General features: G+C 53.9%; 1 protein-coding gene and 1 long non-coding RNA gene across 8 annotated transcripts in view, besides 9 other annotated features; one reads left to right on the plus strand and one right to left on the minus strand.

Moving 5' to 3' along the window:
- Positions 1-10,781, minus strand: LOXL1-AS1 (LOXL1 antisense RNA 1). Of its 5 annotated transcripts, none has more exons than NR_040067.1 (4): positions 10,187-10,319; positions 7,803-8,038; positions 2,493-2,571; positions 1-1,916 (listed from the first exon to the last, which is right to left on the minus strand). It is a non-coding gene; the product is annotated as an LOXL1 antisense RNA 1 (long non-coding RNA). The 5 variants fall into 5 exon arrangements; NR_040066.1 differs by having other exon boundaries at positions 2,371-2,571; NR_040069.1 differs by lacking the exons at positions 7,803-8,038; positions 10,187-10,319 and adding an exon at positions 10,598-10,781.
- Positions 4,489-5,476: an enhancer, noted in NCBI's record as "H3K4me1 hESC enhancer chr15:74214297-74215284 (GRCh37/hg19 assembly coordinates)". NCBI's record gives its function as "activates a minimal SCP1, AML or CMV promoter by ChIP-STARR-seq in naive H9 embryonic stem cells {active_cell/tissue: H9 hESC(naive)}" and the evidence as "EXISTENCE:reporter gene assay evidence [ECO:0000049][PMID:30033119]".
- Positions 5,477-6,462: an enhancer, noted in NCBI's record as "H3K4me1 hESC enhancer chr15:74215285-74216270 (GRCh37/hg19 assembly coordinates)". NCBI's record gives its function as "activates a minimal SCP1, AML or CMV promoter by ChIP-STARR-seq in naive H9 embryonic stem cells {active_cell/tissue: H9 hESC(naive)}" and the evidence as "EXISTENCE:reporter gene assay evidence [ECO:0000049][PMID:30033119]".
- Positions 8,995-21,478, plus strand: part of LOXL1 (lysyl oxidase like 1) — a 25,675-nt gene continuing 13,191 nt past the window's right edge. For all 3 annotated transcript variants that reach the window (NM_005576.4, XM_047432498.1, XM_011521555.3), the window contains exon 1: positions 8,995-10,418. In NM_005576.4, coding sequence (NP_005567.2) covers positions 9,317-10,418 — 1,102 coding nt within the window. In that variant the 5' untranslated portion in view covers positions 8,995-9,316. The remainder of the gene's footprint in view (positions 10,419-21,478) is intronic.
- Positions 9,501-10,334: an enhancer, noted in NCBI's record as "H3K27ac-H3K4me1 hESC enhancer chr15:74219309-74220142 (GRCh37/hg19 assembly coordinates)". NCBI's record gives its function as "activates a minimal SCP1, AML or CMV promoter by ChIP-STARR-seq in naive H9 embryonic stem cells {active_cell/tissue: H9 hESC(naive)}" and the evidence as "EXISTENCE:reporter gene assay evidence [ECO:0000049][PMID:30033119]".
- Positions 9,501-10,362: a biological region, named in NCBI's record as "H3K27ac-H3K4me1 hESC enhancer GRCh37_chr15:74219309-74220142".
- Positions 10,243-10,362: a silencer, noted in NCBI's record as "silent region_6641". NCBI's record gives its function as "represses an Ori minimal core promoter by ATAC-STARR-seq in GM12878 lymphoblastoid cells {active_cell/tissue: GM12878}" and the evidence as "EXISTENCE:reporter gene assay evidence [ECO:0000049][PMID:35858748]".
- Positions 10,335-11,168: an enhancer, noted in NCBI's record as "H3K27ac-H3K4me1 hESC enhancer chr15:74220143-74220976 (GRCh37/hg19 assembly coordinates)". NCBI's record gives its function as "activates a minimal SCP1, AML or CMV promoter by ChIP-STARR-seq in naive H9 embryonic stem cells {active_cell/tissue: H9 hESC(naive)}" and the evidence as "EXISTENCE:reporter gene assay evidence [ECO:0000049][PMID:30033119]".
- Positions 10,453-10,502: a silencer, noted in NCBI's record as "silent region_6642". NCBI's record gives its function as "represses an Ori minimal core promoter by ATAC-STARR-seq in GM12878 lymphoblastoid cells {active_cell/tissue: GM12878}" and the evidence as "EXISTENCE:reporter gene assay evidence [ECO:0000049][PMID:35858748]".
- Positions 15,361-15,655: an enhancer, noted in NCBI's record as "tiled region #13651; K562 Activating DNase matched - State 20:ReprD". NCBI's record gives its function as "activates a minimal TATA promoter and a strong SV40 promoter by Sharpr-MPRA in K562 cells {active_cell/tissue: K562}" and the evidence as "EXISTENCE:reporter gene assay evidence [ECO:0000049][PMID:27701403]".
- Positions 20,048-20,647: an enhancer, noted in NCBI's record as "H3K27ac-H3K4me1 hESC enhancer chr15:74229856-74230455 (GRCh37/hg19 assembly coordinates)". NCBI's record gives its function as "activates a minimal SCP1, AML or CMV promoter by ChIP-STARR-seq in naive H9 embryonic stem cells {active_cell/tissue: H9 hESC(naive)}" and the evidence as "EXISTENCE:reporter gene assay evidence [ECO:0000049][PMID:30033119]".

A 21,478-nucleotide genomic window follows, 5' to 3' on the forward strand; every position in this document is an offset into this window, starting at 1 on the left:
ATTGGAAAATGATTAATTTATTTATAATTCATTTGGGGATAGTTGGTTAATTTGCTTTAAAGTTATGTTCTTACCTCTCACCACACATGAAGACAAAATGAAGAGTTTAATATAAAAAGTGAAATCATAAAATCTCAGAAGAACATTTAATTGAAAATTTATATGTTCCTGGTGAAGGCAGCGGTTATGCAACAATAAAGTCCAAGACCATAAAGAAAAGATTAATAATCTGACAGCTTAAAAATGAAGCATCAAGAAAGTATTTTAAAAATTGATGGAAATGACAAATTAGTTGCATAATATGTGACAAAGAGTGATATATGAAAAGGTGCTAAATATACATCTTATAAACCAATACTAAAAAGATGAACATTACAATAGAAAATAGTCAAAGAATATGAACAGAAAATTTACCATTCATTCACTCAACAAATATTTATCGAGCACCTCTTCTGTGCCAGACAAGTTTACACATGGGACACAGCAGTGAACAAGACAAAGGACAAAGGTCCCTGCCCCAAGGAGCTTACATTCTATTGGAGAGGGGCAAACAATAAACAAGTAAATTATGAAGTATTTTAGACGGTGATAAGTACTACTGGCAAAAAAGAAAAAGAAGGGTTAAGTAAGGCGATCAGGAGTGAGGCATGGGGAGCTCAGGGGCTGGGGAGGTCTCATCAGGAAGGAGACATTTGAGCAAAGCTTTGAACAGATTCAGGTAGTTGACCACACAGAGCAGGGGAAATTGCCATGGTGCGGCGGAGGGGCAGGAGAAGGCCAAGTTGGCTAGAACAGAAAGAGCAAGGGACCAAGTGGTGAGGACCCTGGAGGCCTTGAACAGGACTTTGGCTTTTAACCTGAGAACCATTGCAGAGCTTTAAGGAGAAGAGTGAAATTTTGACTTATGTCTCAAAAAGGATCATTCTGGCTACCATCTTGAGAGCAGACTTTTGGGGTACAAAGGTAGGAGCAAATAGACCATTTAGGAGGTCAGCAAACACATGGCAACATGTTCACTCTCACGGGTAACCAAAAAAATGCAACTAAAAAAATGTATTCACCTGTTTTTAACCTATCCAATTTTTAATGTTCTTTTAGAAAACAGTACTCAGTATCAGTAAGGGTGAATTACCTTCGGGCAGGTAAATGGGAACCACCTTTCTGGGACCAGCTGGGTATTCTGTGCCAAAGCCTCAAAAACACTCAAACCCTTTCACCAGAAATCCAACTTCTAATAAATTAATCTAAAGGTCTAATAATCGCCAGTACTTATTGAGTGCTTGTATGCACCAGGCTCTGAACTAAACGCGCTCCATATTACCCCCATTTAAATTCTTACCATTATTCCTGTCTTACAGAAAGAAAAAAGGCATGGTGAGTCACACAGTTCACAAATGAGGGCTAGAACCAAACCCAGGCACTGTGACCTGCTACACAGGAGAGGCAGATATGAAGATTTCTTCAAGGGTGCTTATTACAGCATCATTTATAATAGCAAATAAAGTACCCAAAAAAATCAACAAAGGAGGTGATTCATTCAGTTATGATTTGTCCACATAAGTCAGTCATTAAAAATCTGGTTAAAGAAAACTCGTTTCCGATCCAGCCAGGTGCTGAGACAGGCAGAACTTTCCAGAGCTTCTCCTTGGAAGCTGCCAGCTGCTGTGATGTCCTATTTCTTGATCCAGGTGGTAATCCAGAGGTGTGCTCACGTTGGGATCATTCATCAAGTGGTACACCTAGGATTTGTGGACTTTTGTGTGTGTGTATGCTATACTCATGTTTTTAAAAGTTATTTTTGGCCGGGCACGGTGGCTCACGCCTGTAAGCCCAGCACTTTGGGAGGCCGAGGTGGGCAGATCATGAGGTCAGGAGATCAAGACCATCCTGGCTAACATGGTGAAATCCTGTCTCACCTAAAAAAATACAAAAAAATTAGCCGTGCGTGATGGCAGGTGCCTGTAGTCCCAGCTACTTGGGAGGCTGAGGCAGGAGAATGGCATGAACCTGGGAGGCGGAGCTTGCAGTGAGCCGAGATCGCACCACTGCACTCCAGCCTGGGAGACAGAGCGAGACTCCGTCTCAAAAAAAAAAAAAAGTTATTTTAAAAAATTTAAGTTGCCAGGTGTTTCTCCTCCTACAGGGACACAAGAAGGCTGTGGAGCAGGATTCTTGGGCCAGGGATGAGGCCCTAGTTATGTAGACCCAAGGCTGGTAGCCACCACTTGCTCCACGTGGAAATGGCTCTCAAGATTCTGTGGTCTGAGAAAGCCTGGTCCTTCCCATACTGCAGGAAGGAAATGCTATGCAGGAAGCGGCTGGCCTCCTGGGCAGATAGAAATGAAGGTACTCCCCGACCCCACACCCTACCTTCCCATTCCAACCAGTGGGTTGACATTTCCACCTCTAAGTGAAACTGGCAATCTGACTGCAGGCCCAGGATCCAGGTCCAGTCCTGAGGGAGACAAGGTCCTAACAGGGGAGGGACCCACCGCTCCGGAACAGAGAGGGTATCTTGCGGAGTGGGGGACAAAGTCTTGACCTCCTCTTCATCCAGGCAGGCAGGAGCTCCTGTGATCAATATGAATATTGAAACGGCAGTTACCTTGAGACAAGGAAATGTTCATCAACTGTTATTACACAAACAAAGCAGCTTGTAAAATGACATAGGCACTATGATCCTAATTGTTTTTTTAAATGAGTGGGGGGGTGGAGCCTAAAACAATGGTTTTTCTCTAGGTTACAGAATGAATTACTTTTTCTTTTTTACTCTGTATTCTAAATTTCCTATAATTGACCTATTTCTTTTGTAATCTGAGATTAAAAATTGTATTACAAAAAAACTTAAGGGAGAGATTGCTGATATCTCATCTTTCATCACCCTGTGGCCCTTTCCTTTCCAGAACCCAGCTGGGCAAAACTAGTCTCCACTGGCCCCAAGGGCCTGCTCCTTCTGTTACAGGAAAGGGTTCCCGATCCAGGCCCCAAGAGAGGCTTCTTAGATCTCACACAAGAAAGAATATGGGGCAAGTCCACAGAGTAAAGTGAAAGCAAGTTTATTAAGAAAGTGAAGGAATAAATGAATGGCGACTCCATAAGCAGAACAGCCCCAATGGCTGCTGGTTAGCTGTCATCTATGATTATCTTTTGATTGTATATTAAAGAAGGGATGGATTATTCATGAGTTTTCTGGGCAAGAGGTAGGGAGTTCCCAGAACTGAGAGTTCCCCTTCCTTTTAGCTCACATAGGGTAACTTCCGGATGTTGCCACAGCATTTGTAAACTGTCATGCACTGGTGGGAGTGTCTTTTAGCATGCTAATGTGATATGATAGTGTACAATGGGGAGTGAGGACAACCAGAGGTCATGATCATCACCATCTTGGTTTGGGCTGGCTTTTTTTTTTTTGAGACAAGAGTTTCACTCTTGTTGCCCAGGCTGGAGTACAATGACGTGATCTCGGCTCACTGCAACCTCTGCCTCCTGGGTTCAAGTGATTCTCCTGCCTCAGCCTCCCGAGTAGCTGGGATTACAGGTGCGCACCACCACGCCTGGCTAATTTTTTGTATTTCTAGTAGAGACAGGGTTTTACCATGGCCAGGCTGGTCTTGAACTCCTGAGCTCTGGTGATCTGCCCGTCTCGGCCTCCCACAGTGCTGGGATTATAGGTATGAGCCACCATGCCCAGCCATCTGGCTTTTTTTTTTTTTAATTGCATTCTGTTTTATCAGTGGAGTGCTTGTGACCTGTATCTTGGGCCTCCTGTCTCATCCTGTGACTACCAAGGCCTAGCCTCCTGGGAATGCAGCCCAGTAAGTCTCAGGCTCATTTTACCCAGTCCCCATTCAAGATGGAGCCCCTCTGGTTGGAATACCTCTGTCACTTCCATCACCACATCCAGTCTCACCCCACACCACCTCCCCTTCTCCAGCTCCACTACCAACCCCCACCAGGGGGAAATGAGTAAACTGCATGAGCTCTGAGAAAGCAGAAAAAAAGCCACCTCATGAAGGTGAACCAAGGACTGAGTCGCTGACAGACAGAGATGGATGGGTAAATGGGCAGACAGACAGACAGACATGGAGACTGAAATAGAAATGCCTCCCAAAGGTCACAGAGAGTCAGTGCCACGTCTTCACCTCCACCCAGGACTATCACTTATACACCCCCACCAGCCTGGGCACCCACTGGAAACTTGGCAGGTCTGGCTGCTCTCTGTGATGACTGCAGTCAGCACAGGGCCTGGTATTCCACAGATACCCAGGGAACATGCTGAGTGAGTGAGTGAGTGGATGAATGAAGGAATCGTTCATTGGTAGAAGCATCAGCAGATAGAGATGACAGGAGGGAGTGTGAAAGAGAGTTGAGGAAGAACAGAAACAGATGGAGACAGATGGAGGCTGCAAGTCACAGACTTGGCCACAGATAGAAAATGAACGAATAAGGTGGAGGGAGGTTACTGCAGAAAATTTAAAAGCTATAGAAAGCCGGTCGTGGTCATGTGCACCTGTAGTCCCAGAGGCTGAGGCAGGAGGATGGCTTGAGCCCAGGAGTTCAAGGCTGCTGTGAATCCACTGCACTCCAGCCTGGGGAACATAGCAAGACTATGCTTTTTTAAAAAAAACAAAAACAAACAAAGAAAAAGCTAGAGAAACCCAGAGAGATCCCAGTGAAAGTTAAATTTACAGACAAAAAGAAAAGGAGAGAGAGAGCACAAGCCCTCCCTTAACTTGTCAGGATGTTAGCAGAGAGAACCAGGGGTTCCTGCCTTAGTTTCCCTCCTAGATTTGCAGGTCTCTGCTGGACTGTGTCCCAAGGGCCTGGCGCCCTGCTTGGTTTTGTCAGTTCTCTCCCTCGGGCAGGGGACAGTTTCCTCTTACCCCCACAGCATGCCAGCTCAGGGCCCTCCCACCCAGAAGGCCCCAGACAACTATGCAGAATCCCCCCGCCAAGGCAGGTCCCTGGGAGAAGATCTCTCTCCCCAGCTGGTCCTCATTCCTGCAATGACAATCGGCTCCTGTCTCCACTGGCTCTGGGCTCAGGGCCCCCGGGTTGGATAGGGGTTGGGGCTGGAAGTGGAGGTAGAGACAGGAGCCTGCTTGCCCCAGACTCTGGGGAGGGGTGAAAGTCAGAGAGGGGAGAAGCTCTAAGGGGCTGAGGCGGCTTCCCGCCTCCACAGAGCCCAACCTGAATGCCCAGAGTACTGTATCAGCTTGGTTATTTCCAAATCCCCTGGGAGCCGTAGGGGAGGGGACCCAGAGAGCTGGGAGGAAAACCGACTGGGAAGTAGCCAGAGCCACAGAATTCTCCTGGGTCCTAGAGAAGGGTGGGTTCCTTCCACCCCCAACCCCATTAGTCCCTCGAAAAGGCTCTGACCTCACCTCCCCCACTTCCGGAGTGGAGTTCCAGCCCTGAAGAAACACTTCCAAACCCATGGCTCTGGCCCCCTCCTCAGGCCCCCTCCTCGGCTACCTCGGCCCTGGGGACTGGGTCCCCCACCCCACCGTTGCGCCAGATGTGGCTGCAGGGGAGGGGTAGGCACGGGGCCCAGCTGGCAGTGGTCACTCGGTGGTCCTCTCCCTGCAGAGTCAGCACTTTCTGTGCCAGCTCGCCCAGCCTCCTCACTCAGCACTTCCTCCAGCCCGCTTTCCAGAGGCAGCAGCTGCCTGGGTTGGGTCTTGGATTCCCAGTGCTGCCCCAAACCCATCTACAGCGCAGCCTGGAAGATGGAGGGTTTGGGTGCTCTGGGGCCTTCCCTCTTGGCATCCCCACTATCACAGAAAATTCCGACCCACCATGGGCCTCCTAGTACGTCCCTCTGCAAAGCAAGGGAGGAATCCCACAGCTCCTGACCCCTCTCTGCTCCCCAGACCCGCTGCTGGTCAGGCCTGCTGCTTCCTGGTTCCCCCATGGACTTTCCAGAACTCAGCCTTCCATGACAGGGTCACAGGACCCTGGCTGCTCCGTGGGAGCCCCGGCAACACAGAGCTGAGCACGTGGCAGGGGCTTAATAAAGTCATGCGCAATCAACAGGCTCTTTCATCCTTCTATCACCACCCCTCCGAGGGTCCCTTGACACCGGTTCCTAGTGCCAGGAACTGGCAACAAGCTTCAAGCACATGCCTGGGTCTTAAAAATGTGGGTGTGAATCCCAGCCTGCAGGGACAGGCGGAGAGAGAAGCTGCCCTTCACCCCAGACAGCTCTGGCTCAGCTCAGCCTTCGAGTCCACGCCCTCATTTGACCCCAGCTCTGCACCCTCCATAACCTGCCCAGGTCTCTTTTAGGACCCCACCCTGCAGGTTTCAACCTAAGGATGCCAGGACACCTCCAGCCACCAAGGCAAGGCCTTGCCCAGCATGAGGAGAGGTGATGGAAGGCAGGCTCCCCTGGGCTCACAGAACTGCTGGGCCTGTCAGCCACTGCAGGAGACCTAAACCCAAGTAGAATGAGGTCAGAAGGAGGGAGTAGAGAGGAAGGGAGAGGACAGCTCTGGTGGAGGGGCCACCTCTGGCCCCCCTGCACAAGGTTCACCCTGAGCAAGGAAAGATGCTGAAGACAGATAAAAACAGGAAAGACAGAGGAAGTGGGAGTGGGGGTCAACCCCAAGAGATAAATCCCTCCCTTCTCTCACAAGTCAAGAGGAAAGAAGGAAAATAGTGGCCACATGTCTGGCTCTGTGCTGGGGACTTTTCATAATCCTCTCATTCCATCCTCTCAAATATGCCACAAGAAAGGTATGATTACCCCCAGGTCACAGACGGGACTCTGAAGCTCTGAGAGCTTAAAAAGCTTCCCCGGGGAGTGGCTGGGCCAGGCCAGGTCCCTAGCTCAAGTCATGGTGTGGACCCCCAGGTCTCCATCTCAGCAGGGATGGCTGGCAGGAGCGCAGTCCTGGCCAGGGGAGTCTGTGCAGAGGCCCAGGCTATGTTCAGAGCAGAGTTTATTCAAATAGAGCCTAACAGGAAACTTGGCTCCTCTGACTCACTCTGATTCGACCTTATTAAGAAAAAAAGAGAGAGGAGCAGGAGCCAGCATCGGGTAAGGTTTCACGCCAAGAGCTGGCTCTGAGGCCCGCTGAGTGGAATGGCATGTGCCCTGATCCCCCCACATCCAAAGCCTTGAGGCAGCCCCTGCCCTGCTGTCCGAGTCAAGGCGAGGGGTCCTGCCTTCACGTTAGGGCAACTGAGTTCCCTTCCTCACAGCCATCCTCTGTCCTCCCTCCACTCCTCTTCCCTTCCCTCCCTGCCTAGGGGTACCCTGAGGCCTGTTTCCATTTCTCCCCCTCCTCTGCTGCAGCAGCTGCCCATCTGGCTGGCGGGAGGGCCCTACAGGACCCCAGGGATTCCAAGCAGCTGAGGCCAACACTGCAGGGGGCAAGCAGGAGGGAGGGAAGGCTTAACCCTCCAGGTCCCGGCCCTCAGTAAGCCCTGCCTCAGCATCTTGCTTGGTGTCAGTCACACCAGTGGCTCTTTGGAGGAATCTTGTCTGGAGTCTGAGATGGAAACCCCATGCTGGGGAGCTGAGGTGTCAGCGTTGACAAGTTGCTGGCCAGGAGGTATTGGAAGCCCCCTACCTCTGGGCTGGATTCTGGGCATTTAAAGGGTAGAGACATGCTGGAGTCCAAGCCTCAGTCCTGAAGAACAGTGCAATGGGTGAACAAATGCTGCCTGGCAAGGATGGGGTTGGGAGGTCTATAGTTCCCAAAGAATGTCCACTCTAGTTGCCTCCTCTCTAGGTGGGCTCCAGGCATTTCCAAAATAAAGAATATACAGGAGCCAAATTAAGGACAGGTCCTTCATACCTTGTTTATAAGCCCAAGAGGGCAATTTCTGCCCTTCGGTTCCCAGGAACACGGTTGGAGAAGGCAGCCCAGGGGAGGCCAGAAGAGCAGTATTTGGAGTGTGATTTCTTGGATGCCAAAGCGTTCAAACTTCTGGGACCCCCTCCTATCCCTGCCATTCCCAGAAGGAACAGAGAATCTCCCAAAGCACTCTCAGGAGCCATCTGGCCTAATCTTCCATTGGTAAGCCGTGGCACCTGGATCAGATAGAGTAAGGGACTAAGCCACACAGCAACAGGACCAGGCCAGGTCTCCGGAACCCCCTTCTGTTGTTCAATGCTTACTGGCTTCTCTGCCTCACAGTGACCCCTGTCCCATATCAAAGACAGCCCCCAGTTTCATTTTATCCATGTGTACACTCAAGTTATTCCCAGGCTATGCAGAGCCAAGAGATGTAGGACAGAAACCATACGTGATGTCTGGGAAGTTGATCTCTCCCAGGATCTCACAAGTGCTTTTCAGCTCAGGGATACACCCCACTCTTCAGACTGGGAAAGTAAGCCCCTGAGGTGTGCCACGAGGGAAAAGGTGCAGCTCCAGTGCCTCTCTTCGCAGGCCCAAGAGCTGCGGTGCACCTGGGACCTGGAATTAGAGAGTGGTCCCTGTTCAGCATCTCCCCGAGGAGGCCCACCAACAAAGAGGGTGTGTCTTTTTTTTTTTTTTCTTCCTATTGAGGGTGTGGGATAATGGTGGAAGGAACATGCAAAGAGGGTGTGTCTTAATTAGCACTGGCTTTAGGGAACAAGGAAAAGGGAGAACCCGGGAGTACGGGAAGGAGGCTGGGGCAGACAGGAGTCAGAGGCCCATTCCAGCCCAAACGAGAAGCCAGTGAGCAAGGTGGAGACCAGGGATGCTGTGACCAAAGCAGAGAGGAATGGGCGGGGTGGTGCTGACACCCCAGCCCCGTTCTGCCTGCCAGAGCCCCACTTACCAGGCCCGAGTCCCCAGAGGTCCCCTCCTACTCCCTGCTCGATTCCCTTCCTCAGAGGCAGGTCTGTGGCTTGGCTGGGAACTCCAGGGACTGAGGGAGCACTGCAGCTGTGGGACCGGCGCATAGCTAAAAGCCGGCGGGCCATAGGGCCCCGCGGAGGAGGCCCCAGCAGGCGGACCAGGAGGCCGAAGCCTCCCGACGCTCCCAGCCTGTTGCTTATTCATTCAGAGTGGGAAAGCGCCAGCCGAGCGGCCAGCCAGTGCGGGGCTGGCCATGTAAGGCCCACAGGCGGTCCTGCCCGCCCGGTGCCCTGCGGAGAGCCTCGTGCAGCCCTGGGCACCGCCCCTGCCCTGCCCTGACCCCTTGGCCTTGAAATGCTGTCATCGGAGGAGCCGTCCCGCTCGGGACAAGGCCAGCATGGACAAAGCTAGAGCTGGGGCAAGCAAGGAGCCTTCCTGTCCTCGAGGCCGTGGGAAGAGAAGCACGCCCAGGGGGCCACTCCTGAGAGCCTCTCTGTCCACCAGGCCTCTGCAGAGGGGTCACCATGGCTCTGGCCCGAGGCAGCCGGCAGCTGGGGGCCCTGGTGTGGGGCGCCTGCCTGTGCGTGCTGGTGCACGGGCAGCAGGCGCAGCCCGGGCAGGGCTCGGACCCCGCCCGCTGGCGGCAGCTGATCCAGTGGGAGAACAACGGGCAGGTGTACAGCTTGCTCAACTCGGGCTCAGAGTACGTGCCGGCCGGACCTCAGCGCTCCGAGAGTAGCTCCCGGGTGCTGCTGGCCGGCGCGCCCCAGGCCCAGCAGCGGCGCAGCCACGGGAGCCCCCGGCGTCGGCAGGCGCCGTCCCTGCCCCTGCCGGGGCGCGTGGGCTCGGACACCGTGCGCGGCCAGGCGCGGCACCCATTCGGCTTTGGCCAGGTGCCCGACAACTGGCGCGAGGTGGCCGTCGGGGACAGCACGGGCATGGCCCGGGCCCGCACCTCCGTCTCCCAGCAACGGCACGGGGGCTCCGCCTCCTCGGTCTCGGCTTCGGCCTTCGCCAGCACCTACCGCCAGCAGCCCTCCTACCCGCAGCAGTTCCCCTACCCGCAGGCGCCCTTCGTCAGCCAGTACGAGAACTACGACCCCGCGTCGCGGACCTACGACCAGGGTTTCGTGTACTACCGGCCCGCGGGCGGCGGCGTGGGCGCGGGGGCGGCGGCCGTGGCCTCGGCGGGGGTCATCTACCCCTACCAGCCCCGGGCGCGCTACGAGGAGTACGGCGGCGGCGAAGAGCTGCCCGAGTACCCGCCTCAGGGCTTCTACCCGGCCCCCGAGAGGCCCTACGTGCCGCCGCCGCCGCCGCCCCCCGACGGCCTGGACCGCCGCTACTCGCACAGTCTGTACAGCGAGGGCACCCCCGGCTTCGAGCAGGCCTACCCTGACCCCGGTCCCGAGGCGGCGCAGGCCCATGGCGGAGACCCACGCCTGGGCTGGTACCCGCCCTACGCCAACCCGCCGCCCGAGGCGTACGGGCCGCCGCGCGCGCTGGAGCCGCCCTACCTGCCGGTGCGCAGCTCCGACACGCCCCCGCCGGGTGGGGAGCGGAACGGCGCGCAGCAGGGCCGCCTCAGCGTGGGCAGCGTGTACCGGCCCAACCAGAACGGCCGCGGTGAGTACGGCCCCGGCGCCCCTCCGGCCGCGCGTACCCCTGGCCACTGGAAACTGCTCCGGGCCCCCCGGGCCCCTCCTTAGAACTTCCTGGAGGCCTCCCCGGAGCTGCTAAGCACGGAGCAGCGCCCCCTCCCGACTTCCCCCGACCCAGCCAACAGCACCCCCCTGGCATCTCACCTCCCAGCTTAACCCGCACCCAGGCATCATCAGTGCCAGGGGTTGGCCAGGCAGGTGTGGGCTCTGATCCTGGCTTTGGTGGAGGGACTAGCCGAGCTTTGGGAGGAGGCTCGCCTTCTGCACTTGGCTTGGGTCATCTGAGGACAAAAGGAAGGAGCCCCTCATCCACCTTCTCCCTCATTTCAATGAGGGCATCTCCTTCCCCCCTTAGAGATGTTCTATGCCAGCTCACAGGGTGAGGCAAGGAGCATCAGAAACCTGAGTCTTCAGGGCCAGAAAGGCCTTAAGGGATGCCCCTGGAGGTGTGGCAGGCTGCCCATTACTGGGCATGTGTGAGGTTGGCTTGAGTGCGCAGGAGGTTAGAGGGGAGCGTGTGCTCCAGGCAGGAGTCCGGACTTCCTCAGGGGAGTCTGCAAGGCTGGGGCAAGAGAGACCAGTCAGGCACTGGCCTGGGTGCAGAATTTCAGGGGCTACCAAAAAACACAGTAGTTGAGATGAGTAATATTGAGATGTATTTTTTTAAGTCAAAATTAATGCAAAAAAAAAAAAAAAAAAAAAAAACCTGTGATAAAGGAAATATCCAGATTTTAAATAGAGTCAGTAATAGTGGTATGCCGAGCCATATTGGAGCCTGAGGCTAACTGAAAAATCAGCAACACGGATCCTGTCTTTATTTGATATTTGGATATTTTGTTCATTACAGATAGTTTTGCATTAATTTTTATTTTAAAAACTATTGTGTTAAATATTACTTATCTCCGTTACTGAGTTTTTTTGGCACCCCCTAAAATTTTGCACCCCGAGGAAAAAAAAAAAAAAACACCTCACTGGCCTCATTCCCCTCACCCTAGTCCTGGCCCTGGCGGAGAGCCCCAGCTGTGGACAGGACTCCCTCTGGCTTTTCAGGGGGTGAACATACGTCCTCCTCTTGGGAAGGCCCAAGCCCTCTGCACATGAGGACACAGTGGAAAGGCAGCTTCCACACATGCTGTTAGCAGACAGGGCTACTGTGACAAGGGCTGACTGGTGGGTGTGGCCAGTGCTGGACGGCCATCAGCCATTCTCTGCTGTCCTAGAATCCCCCTCCCTGCTACCCTCTCCATACAGGCAGCTTTTGGGCCAAGGTTTTCTACTCAGTCCCCAATACTTATGCAGTCCAACTCTGCCTTGCCTCTTTCAAGCTGTCGTCAGTTTCCTCTACCCATAATTCTCTGCTCCCCATTGAGGTTGCTGTGCCTGGCCCACCAAGTAAGGGCTGACTGAGCCCTCCAGTGCCTCAGAGTATAGGTGCTAGTGCCCCAGCCTCCTCCTCAGCCTCTGTCAGCAGAGGGATGATGCTTTGTCTCCAGCCAAGCTGACCTCAGTGAGGGGCTGCTGCTCATGGGGTGCCTGTCTCCCTGGGTACTGCTGGAGGCCAAGACTAGGGGAGAGGAGCGTCTCCACTGGGAACACTCACTCTATCACATCCAAGGTGTCGCTTTTGAGTTGTGTGCTGAATCCCACTTTAAGAACCTGCAGGAGCTCAGGAAAAATCAGATGGCAGGTCCTTCTGTGGTGTGATGAAGGATGCATCCACCTGCTCTGGTCCTTACCAGGTACTTGCAGCATCCCTGCAGAAGGGCGCATTATAGCCATGCATCAGCTGCTCTAGGGCCCCTTGGAGAATAGGATGTTTTACCTAGAGGGTGCTAAACTTTTGCAGTGGCTTTTCTTAGAATGCAAGACCTCAGCATGAGGCTCAGCCTGATGGGCCCCACCTCTGGGCAGAGAAAACTGAGCTCTCAAATGCCACAATATTGGCAGAGGCATGCCTGGGACTTGGCATCTGGGCACCAAGTCAGTGGGTCTTCTAGGGCCTGTCTTTGGGCTGTTAGTTCTTAAGGAAGCCAGTTGATTGAGAGGGGAATGGGACAGGGCAAGGCCATGTCTGAAGTGGGGGTGCTTGGTGCTTAGCAGACCTCTGGCCACTACCCTGAGCCCCACAGTTCATTTTGGGTCAAAAACATTTCTCCCCTGAAGGTAGCATCCTAGGTGCCAAGCTGAGTGTACTCACATGCATCAAGTCCAGGCCCTTCCCTGGGGCAGTCTACCAGGAGGGGCATCTCAGTGCTGTGATTAGGCAAGCATTGGTGGGGCCAGGGGCTTTGTGAGCCCAGAGGAGGGCCCTCCCTGTCAGGGGCTAGGGCTCAGGGAGACTTCCACAGGAAGCAATGTCTAAGCATTGCTGCAAGGGATGGTCATCAGCACCATCCAGGTGCCCCTTCCCCTAATCATTGAGGGTGTGGGGTGGGAGTGTGTTTTTTGCTGGGGAGGGGATTGCAGGCTAGTTTAGGGCTCACAAAGAGGCCAGAGAGGGAGCAGTAGTCTCTCCCATCATTGGTTCCTCCCTCCCCACCCTGCTAGGCCAGACCGTGGAAAATCCCAGCCCAGGGAAGGCCAAGCCTTGTGCTTGAGATCAGACCCCCAGGCCTGGTGTGGGAGCCCAAGGCGGATTCTCCGAGACTGACTTCATTCCTCCTGGCCACACACCCAGGGGTCTGAGGCTGGGCGCTGGCAGCCTGTGAGTGTGTGTGGGCGTGGACGTGTCCTCACAACACCAAGCACATGTGAGCACCACCCACCTCCCTCCATGGGTGGGTGGTTTCCAAGCGCCTGTCCTGAGCCCAGTTTCTTCCTCGGGTACCTGTGCCCTCTTCCTTCCTACCCTGGGCACTGAGACTGCCCAAGGCTTCCTGCAGTACCATTCTCTCCAACTCTGAAACATGAAACTGAAAAGAAACTAGAGGAAACAGAGGCCCAGAGAGGGTCACATACTTTGCCTGGCTCTCATAGCAAATCCTTGAAGAGAGGCCTGGAGGGTGGCCAGCCACTTCCCAGGCCCAGCTGGGTCTCCTGCACTGTGTCGGCTCCCTCGATGTGACCACTCCTGCTATTACCAACCAGGCCCTCCTCTCCTGGGATCCTCGCCTCAGCTCCTGCCTCCCTGGAGTTTCAGCTTGTCTGAGCTGGGGGTCTTAGTGCCACCTAAGAAGCCCCACAGCCCCAGAAGACCAAAGCTCCCCTCCCAAGGCCTTACCCTCGCACCCCCCGCCTGACTCACCGGCTCTGGCAATCCTGTGAAAGGAACATGGAACAGGCAGCCCTGGGCATCCTCCCAGGGCATCTTGGATGGCTGTGCTAGCCTTGCCTGACGTGTGTCCTCTATCCCTGACTTCACATGGCCAATCAGAGGCCAGGAGAGAACCGCAGCTGCCTCCTCCCTGGTCCCTTGCTCCCAGTCTCTCCCTCTTCAGTCTGTCCTGCATGTGGGGCAGATAAACCCCTGCAGTCTGACCAGGTTACTCCTCTGCTCAAGAAGATTCTGTAGCTCCTCAGGGCCTTTAGGACAAAATCTAGTGTCTCAGCCCAGCACTCCAGAGTTAGAGGCACCTCCTTCCTGTCCTTTCTTCCTCCTTTTCTCAAGCCTCCACAGCCCCCATGGGACCATGCTGCTCGTGGGCCTAGATGTTACACCTCCCTAGACACATGCAAGGGTGTTTCTAGGGTACCTCCTTCTCTGTCCAGCCTCCTGCACCCAAGAGGCCAGACCTGTCTGGACCCTCAGTCCCTGAGAGCAGCCCTGGCTGCCTGCTACCACCTCTCCTGCCTGAGCCCCTAGCTCACCTGGGCCTGCTCCACCCCACCTCCACAGGCTGCCTGCCCACCTCTGCCCTCCAGGTCACTCGCCTTCCCCTGCAGAGTTTGGAGTAGATGCAGGGAAGGACCAAAGCAGGCTTCACCCAACAAGCTTCCAGAGTTAGAGCCCAGAGGCAGGGATAATAATACCAACTTGGCCATTTGCTGAAGACCACTTCCTGGGCTTACTGACTTCAATGTGCAGTTTCATTCATCCTCACAACCTCCTAATGAGGTGCAGATTATGGTCCTCCTGGTGTAGATGAGAAAACAGGCCTAGGGAGGTGGCACAGAAGGGTACAGCCGAGCTTGAATTCAAACTGAACCTGTGCTCTCTGCATCACAGTGAGATGACCCAGGAGGATATCATGTTCAGCCTGCGGGCAGGGTGGGGCAGGGCATGAGCATGGACCCCTCTGCCAGCTTTGCCTCTGTGGTCCTCACCTCCCACATCTGCATCCAGAGGAAGAATTATGCTTGCATTTGCTGAGTGCGTTATACATCATCTCCTTTAATTCCCAGGTCCTAGCCAGGTACTGTTATTTGTCCCGTGTTACAGATGTGGTGACGAGCTCACTTGCTGACTTTTAGTAGTGGAACCAGGATTTGAGTCTGTGTGACTCTCTATCCTGAGTTCTTAACAACCATGCATTTAAAAAAAAAATTTATATATTATTGCTTATCTTGTACACCTCATTTATTCACTCATTCATTTGGTCATTCATTCATTCAACAGATATTTGAGTGCTAGATTCTGGGCACTGGTTGTGACAGGGTGAGATGGGACAGTGAGTGTGAAAGACTTTGGAAGCAGAGTCTCTCCCCAGTGTGGGGTTAGGGTGTAGCCTGGTCATGGTCATTGCAGATTCCAGAACGTTTGTGTAACAAACACTCATATGGTGCATACTAAGTGCCGGACACTGTTCTTGGAGTTTTGCAGTTAGAATCACTTAATCCCTGTGACAACCCTGGGATTGTTATCCCCATTTTGCAGATGAGGAAACTGTGGCCCTGAGAAGTTAAGCGACTTGCCCTGGAGGCAGAATCACAGATCAGCATCCCTCCTTCCTTCCCCGAAGTTGTCTCAGATTGTTCCTTCAGAAAGAAAAAGAGTCTTCAGGCTTAGAAAGCTGTGTCGGATCAGACAAGCTGTGGAAACGGAGGGTTCTGGGCCCTCCTCCTGCCTCCCTGTTTCTCCTTTGAGAGTCATCAGTGTCTGAACAAACAAGTGGAGTCCTAAGCAGCCTCATTCCAGGCAGACTTCCTGTCTCCTCTCTTATCAGCCACTTGCAAGGCACCTTCTCTCTCCCCTGCTCTCAAACTGGACCATCCCTGCAAGAAGAGACAGCTCCTGTTTTCAATAATAAGAATAAGAATATCTGATATTTATTGAACATACACTATGCTAAGCATTTTATTTTTCTCATTTAATTCCCACAACAGCCTTGTGAGATAAATAGTATTATCAGCTCTATTTTATAGATGAGGAAACTGAGGCTCGGAGAAATTAACCAACTCACCCAAGGTCTCAGGGTTAATGAGTGGCCAAGCTTAGACCTAGGCTGACTGTCCAATCCAGTGGGCCCTGGCCTCACTCTGTTCCGTCTCTTAGGGACGGGTGTTTTATATTCTGTGTCACCTGTCTCTGTGTTCACTGTTCCCCTGAGGTGTAAACACCTGAAAAAAACCAAATTTGGGTTTTTGCCTCAAGTTTGCGGGCCCCACAGAGTTGCTGGGGATGGTGGCAGAGCAGGGTTGGGAGCCATTAGTACCATTATGGGCACCAGGTTACTGCTAGACTTGGCCTGGGAGCTCTGGCTTTTTGTCCTCTCTCCTTCCTCCTAACCTCAGGGGTCCTCACTGCAGCATCCTCTGCTCTCAGAAGGTGTACCCCTCTCCAGTAGCTCCCTAGTAGCTCCTGAGTCCATTCTACCTCCTTTCTAAGCTGGGAACACATGGAAGACTTCCCAGGACAGTGGCTGACATGGGCAGGAGAGGAAAGGGGCAGGGAGGGAGCTGGGGTCCGCCCAGGCGGCCCACACCTCCTTCCAATTGCTGTGCCCAGCATTCCTGCAGAAGAGCAGTCAGGGTTGGGATGCTGGAAAGAGAGGTTTAGACTTGCCCCTCCCCTGGCCCTGACCTAGCCGCCTCATTTCCACAGGCAGCTGGACCAAGGGCCTTCTTTTTGTCGGGACTCATGATCACAGGGTGAGGGTTGGGTCTGGGTCCCTCTCCCTCTTGCTGATGGGCACCCAGAAACCAGGCATTGCAGTACCACTTGGAAATGGGGAGAGGGGTGTCAGAATGCCAAAGCAGGAAGAGACACAGGATGGGAAAGCGAGGCCCCAGAGGCCTTTGCCATCCAAACCTCAAGAGACAACCCATCCTTCCCCCTGCTTGTGGGCCAGCTGGAACCACAGGTTTTCCAAACCCAACGCAAATCTTTCTGCAAAAGAAAGGACTCTGGGAATCGATTCCAGACCCTGCTTGACAATGAAGTCTGTGCTCACACAGGCAGTGCCACCAGACGTTTTATGGAGTATGGGCATTGGCTCACGCACTTGCCAAGGACATACAGGTGCTAGGCCCTGAGCTGGGCGTGGAGAATTTCAGGGGCATCCCAGAACCCTCCCTGGCCTCACTGACGTCTCAGCCTGGCAGTGAGAAAACAGACACCTGGGGTGGAGAGTGGCCCAAGTCCATGTCTGTCTTTGCCAGCTCTCAGCACCCACTGTGCACCTGGGAGACGTGCACCAGAAGCTGAGTACAGGCAAAAGATAATACCACTCACCCCTGCCCTCATGGGCTCTTGCCTGGCTGCAGAAGGCAGATATCATCTCGTGAGGAAATAGGGCAGATATCATCTCATGAGGAAATAGTCATTTAACAAATATTTATTGAGCGACTTACTGTATGCTGGGCACCGTTCTAGAGCTGGGTATTCATTCGTGAAAAGAAAGAGACAAAATTCTTGCCCTTGTGGATCTTCTATTTTCATGTATAAACATAATAAATATGTAAAAAAAATAGAAGGTACTAAGTGCTGTGGAAAAATAGAGATAGGTAAGGAAGATCGGGAGTGTAGGAGAGGGACAGGTTGCAAAGGTGGTCAGGCCTCATGAAGGTGACACTTGAGCAAAGACTTGAGGCATATGAGTGAGCCATGCAGCTGTCTGCAGGAAGAGCATTCCAGATAGGAAGACAGCCAGTGCAAGGCCCTGAGGCAGGAGTTCCCTGGGGTTTTCAGGTGTGCTCCAGTGTGGTTAGAACAGAGTAGAGTGGAAATGGAGGTATAACAGGGGACAGGTCAGAGAGGTAATGGGGTCCGGGCCATGGGGAGCTTGTCGGCCATTGTAAGGGGTTTGCCTTTTATTTTCTGTGCATCCCTTTTACTCAGCGTTTGAGCTGAGTAGAAGCATGGGTCCCTGACTGCTAAACAGGGCCCCTGACTGCTGTGCCAGGAGTGGACAGTGGAGAGTCAGCCAGGGGAACCGACAGGAGGCTGTTCCAGAGAGTAGGAAGAGTGGTAGCAATGGAGGAAGCCAGCTTTAGGGTATGTTCTTGAGATAGAGCTGAGGGGATTTCCTGCTGGGTTGGATATGGGGTATGAAAGAAAGAGAGGTGTCAGGGATCACACAGTGGTTTATGGCTGGTGTGGCTGGAAGGATGCAATTGCCTTGAGCTGAGATGGGAAGGCTGTGGGCAGCGTAAGTTTTGTAAGAAATATGAAAATTTCAGGTCACTGTGCAGGGCCTGAGAGGGCAAGGAGGGAACCCCTGGAGTAACTGAAGCATCAAGGGAAGCTTCTAGAGGTGGGGTAGGGGGCACCAGGCAGGGCCTGCAAGGGCGGGGAGGGCTCAGGGGCAGGGGTTGGGTTCACGCTGGGAGGAAATGTGCATTAGGTGTGCAGAGAGGCAGCAGAGGCTTGGCCTCTGAGCAGGGAGCTGACCTCCGCATTGGTTAGCATTGTCTGCCTCCCCCTCAGCCCAGCCTGCCTCCTGGGCAGCTGGCGCAATCAAGCACACACTTACAAATCCCTTCTGTGAGTCAAGCCCTTCTGCTGCTGTCTCTCCCCATTGGTGGGGTGGACAGGTGAGTGCTGTAAAAGGGTGCAGGGTGGTGGTGGAGGGGTGTTCAGGACTGACAGGGTGGGCTTTGGAGCTAAAGACTGTGTGCCTCTGCATAGGTAGAGCTGGTGTGTGTGTGTGTGTGTGTGTGTGTGTGTGTGTGTGTGTACGCGCATGCACATGCATAGCTGGGAATTCCAGGACAAGGGCACCATGGAGTCAGGGGGTAAAAAAGGTTGGGGTATGCTGCCAGAGACCTGCCTACTGATCCTTAGGATTAAGAGTTCTGGAAGGCTAGGTAAGGTCAAACCACAGACGGCTTTAGCTGCCACTCTGAGACTTCTAGGCTTGATTCTGTGGGCAATGGGGAGCCATTGAAGACCCTGGGCCTGGCTTGATGGCTGTCCTAGCTCTCAGGCTTGAGCTGGGTTACATCTTCATTATGGGGCAAAGTGGAATCTGCAGCCACCTTGCCTGCCTGCTCACCAAGCAGGTGTGGCACTGCCAGGCCAGTGCTGACAAGTTAATTTCCTGATTATGAGATAATCATTTCCTAGGGAATCGGGCAGCCAGCTCCCGCCGTGGAGGCCTCTCTGGCTCATCTTTATTCAAGGCCCTGCTCTGCAGAGCTTTCTGCTTCTCTGCCACCTAGGGGCTCCTCTGGAGTCTGGCTGCGCTAGCCAAAACATCCCGCTCAGCACATATTTCACAAGCAACTGACCAGTTCCTCCTGGACTTTGTTTATCCTCCAGCCCTGGGCTCAAGAGATTAGGGCTCTTTTGCATTCCACTTTCCATCATTTGCCCCTCATGAGGAGGAGGCTTGGAGAGGAAAGATTCCAGAGACAAGGTTTACTGAACCCACAAAAAAGAGGAAGCCAAGAGGGAAACAGGTGAGGTGTGGACGAGCAATGGGAAGGCAGCCACAGGGCTCTCAGCGCCAGGCAGCCTCCCTCCAGGAACCGCTGGGCAGGAGGGAACAGATTTCTAATGAAGCAGGAAGGATTTAGGTCAGAAGGTGGGAGAATTTCCTGACTGCTAAAGTATCGTCTGTAGGGGTTGTGAGAGGGCTCGGGCTCTTGCCCAAGGCTGGGGAATGAACTGAACAGCTCCTAAAAAGTATTTTAATCTCCAAGTGTTTATCGATCTATCCAACCTGTGTTCAGGGGCCAGCTAGTTCAGTCTCCCTCATCATCCAGATGGGGAAAGTGAGCCTCAGAAAGGGGACTGGGGAGACTGGACAAGACAGTGAACTCACCTCTGGAGCTTCCCCCCTGAGAAGGCCCCAGCTGCATCCCACCAGGGAAGGGGCAGATGGTCTTTGTCCTCCGGTTCCCGAGGGCGGGCACGGGAGCCGTCAGCAACTCCAGACCCAGCATTGAGCAGGAGGACAGGGTGGGCTTGTCCCGAGCACACAGGCCCCAAGAGTCAGTGTGACAGGTTCCTCCTACTGTGCTCCTGCACACTCCCACAGAGGAAGCTCCAGGGGCAGAGCCAGGATATAGAACATTGGTTCTGTCTTCTCGGCTCCGTGTCTTCACTGTCCTGGAGGTTTGAAGGGCATGCTATAGCTAAAAGGCTTACCCCACATCAGTGGCTGGCTGTCTCCCTGTGGAATGAATGGCCCTGGGACCGTATTCCCTCGCACGCAGCTCCTCCCCAGCCGAGCATCCTGGCTTTGGCCATCTCAAGGGTCTTCGCTGCCCCGTGACTCAGCATCCCTGCCATCCTGGCCCAGGCTCTGTGCAGCCTGCATCTGAGGAAGAATGCCCACAGAGGCCGGCACAGGGCCTCAGGCCCCGAGTCAGGTGGAGGACAATTAGAAGTGGAAGAATGGAGGCCATGAAGCCTGAAGTGGGGCTGGGTCAACCCAAGGCCACACAGAAGGCCTATGACACAGTAGGGCAAGACCCCAGGCTCCTGTCTCCCTCCTGGGAGCAAGAAATTGATGGTGGCCAGGGTTTTCCTGGGTAGTCTGAGCAAGCCCATCCACCCAGTCTTTGGGTGGTGAGACCCGCCCCAGCCTACCCCCACCAGTGGTGCTGGGGGCTTGGGAGAAGACTGAGCAGGGCTGTAGGTGACCCAGGGAGCTGGCTGCGTACCTTCATCAGGCCCAGGAGGGGCACGTACGGCCGTTCACTGTAGCGTGTTTGTGGAGCGGGGAGTTAGAGGTGACCTGGAGGTCTAAAACAGGAGGCTGGCCGGGTGCGGTCACTCACCCCTGTAATCCCAGCACTTTGAGAGGCCAAGGCGGGTGGAACACTTGAGGTCAGGAGTTCGAGACCAGGCTGGCCAACATGGTGAAACCCCATCTCTACTAAAAATACAAAATTTAGCCAGAGCACACACCTGTAATCCCAGCTGCTCAGGAGGCTGAGGCAGGAGAATTGCTTGAACCCGGGAGGTGGAGGTTGCAGTGAGCTAAGATGGCGCCATTGCAGTCCAGCCTGGGCAACAGAGCTAGACTCCGTATCTATCTATCTATCTATCTATCTATCTATCTATCTATCTAGGTAGATAGATAGAACAGGAGGCCAGCTAGAAGGGACATAGAGGATGCACATCGTGGAATCCTATGTAGCAGTGACAGGCAGTGAACTAGATAGACCTTAAAAGTTTACATGGACTGGGCTCGGTGGCTCACCCCATAACCTCAGCACTTTGGGAGGCTAAGGTGGGCAGATCACCTGAGGTCAGGAGTTCGAGACCAGCCTGGCCAACATGGTGAAACCCTGTCTCTACTGAAAATACAAAAATTAGCCAGGCATGGTGGCATGCGCCTGTGGTCCTAGCTACTTGGGAAGCTGAGATGGAAGGATCACTTGAACCCGGGAAGCGGATGTTGCAGTGAGCCAAGATCGCACCACTGCCCTCCAGCCTGGGCTGATGGTTTCCCCTGTATTTGGAGTAAGCAAAAAGACCTCATTTGACTGGGTGCGGTGGTTCACGCCTGCAATCCCAGGACTTTGGGAGGCTGAGGCAGGAGGATCACTTGAGCCCAGGAGATCAAGGCTGCAGTTAGCCATGTTCACGCCACTGCATTCCTGCCTGGACAACAGAGCAAGACCCTGTCTCAAAGAAAAAAGAAAAGGTGGAGGTGGCGTGGGGAGCTGGATATGTACCTTCACCAGGTCCAGGAT

The sequence above is a fragment of the Homo sapiens genome, chromosome 15 (genome assembly GCF_000001405.40).
Source record: "Homo sapiens chromosome 15, GRCh38.p14 Primary Assembly".
Classification (NCBI taxonomy): Eukaryota; Metazoa; Chordata; class Mammalia; order Primates; family Hominidae; genus Homo; species Homo sapiens.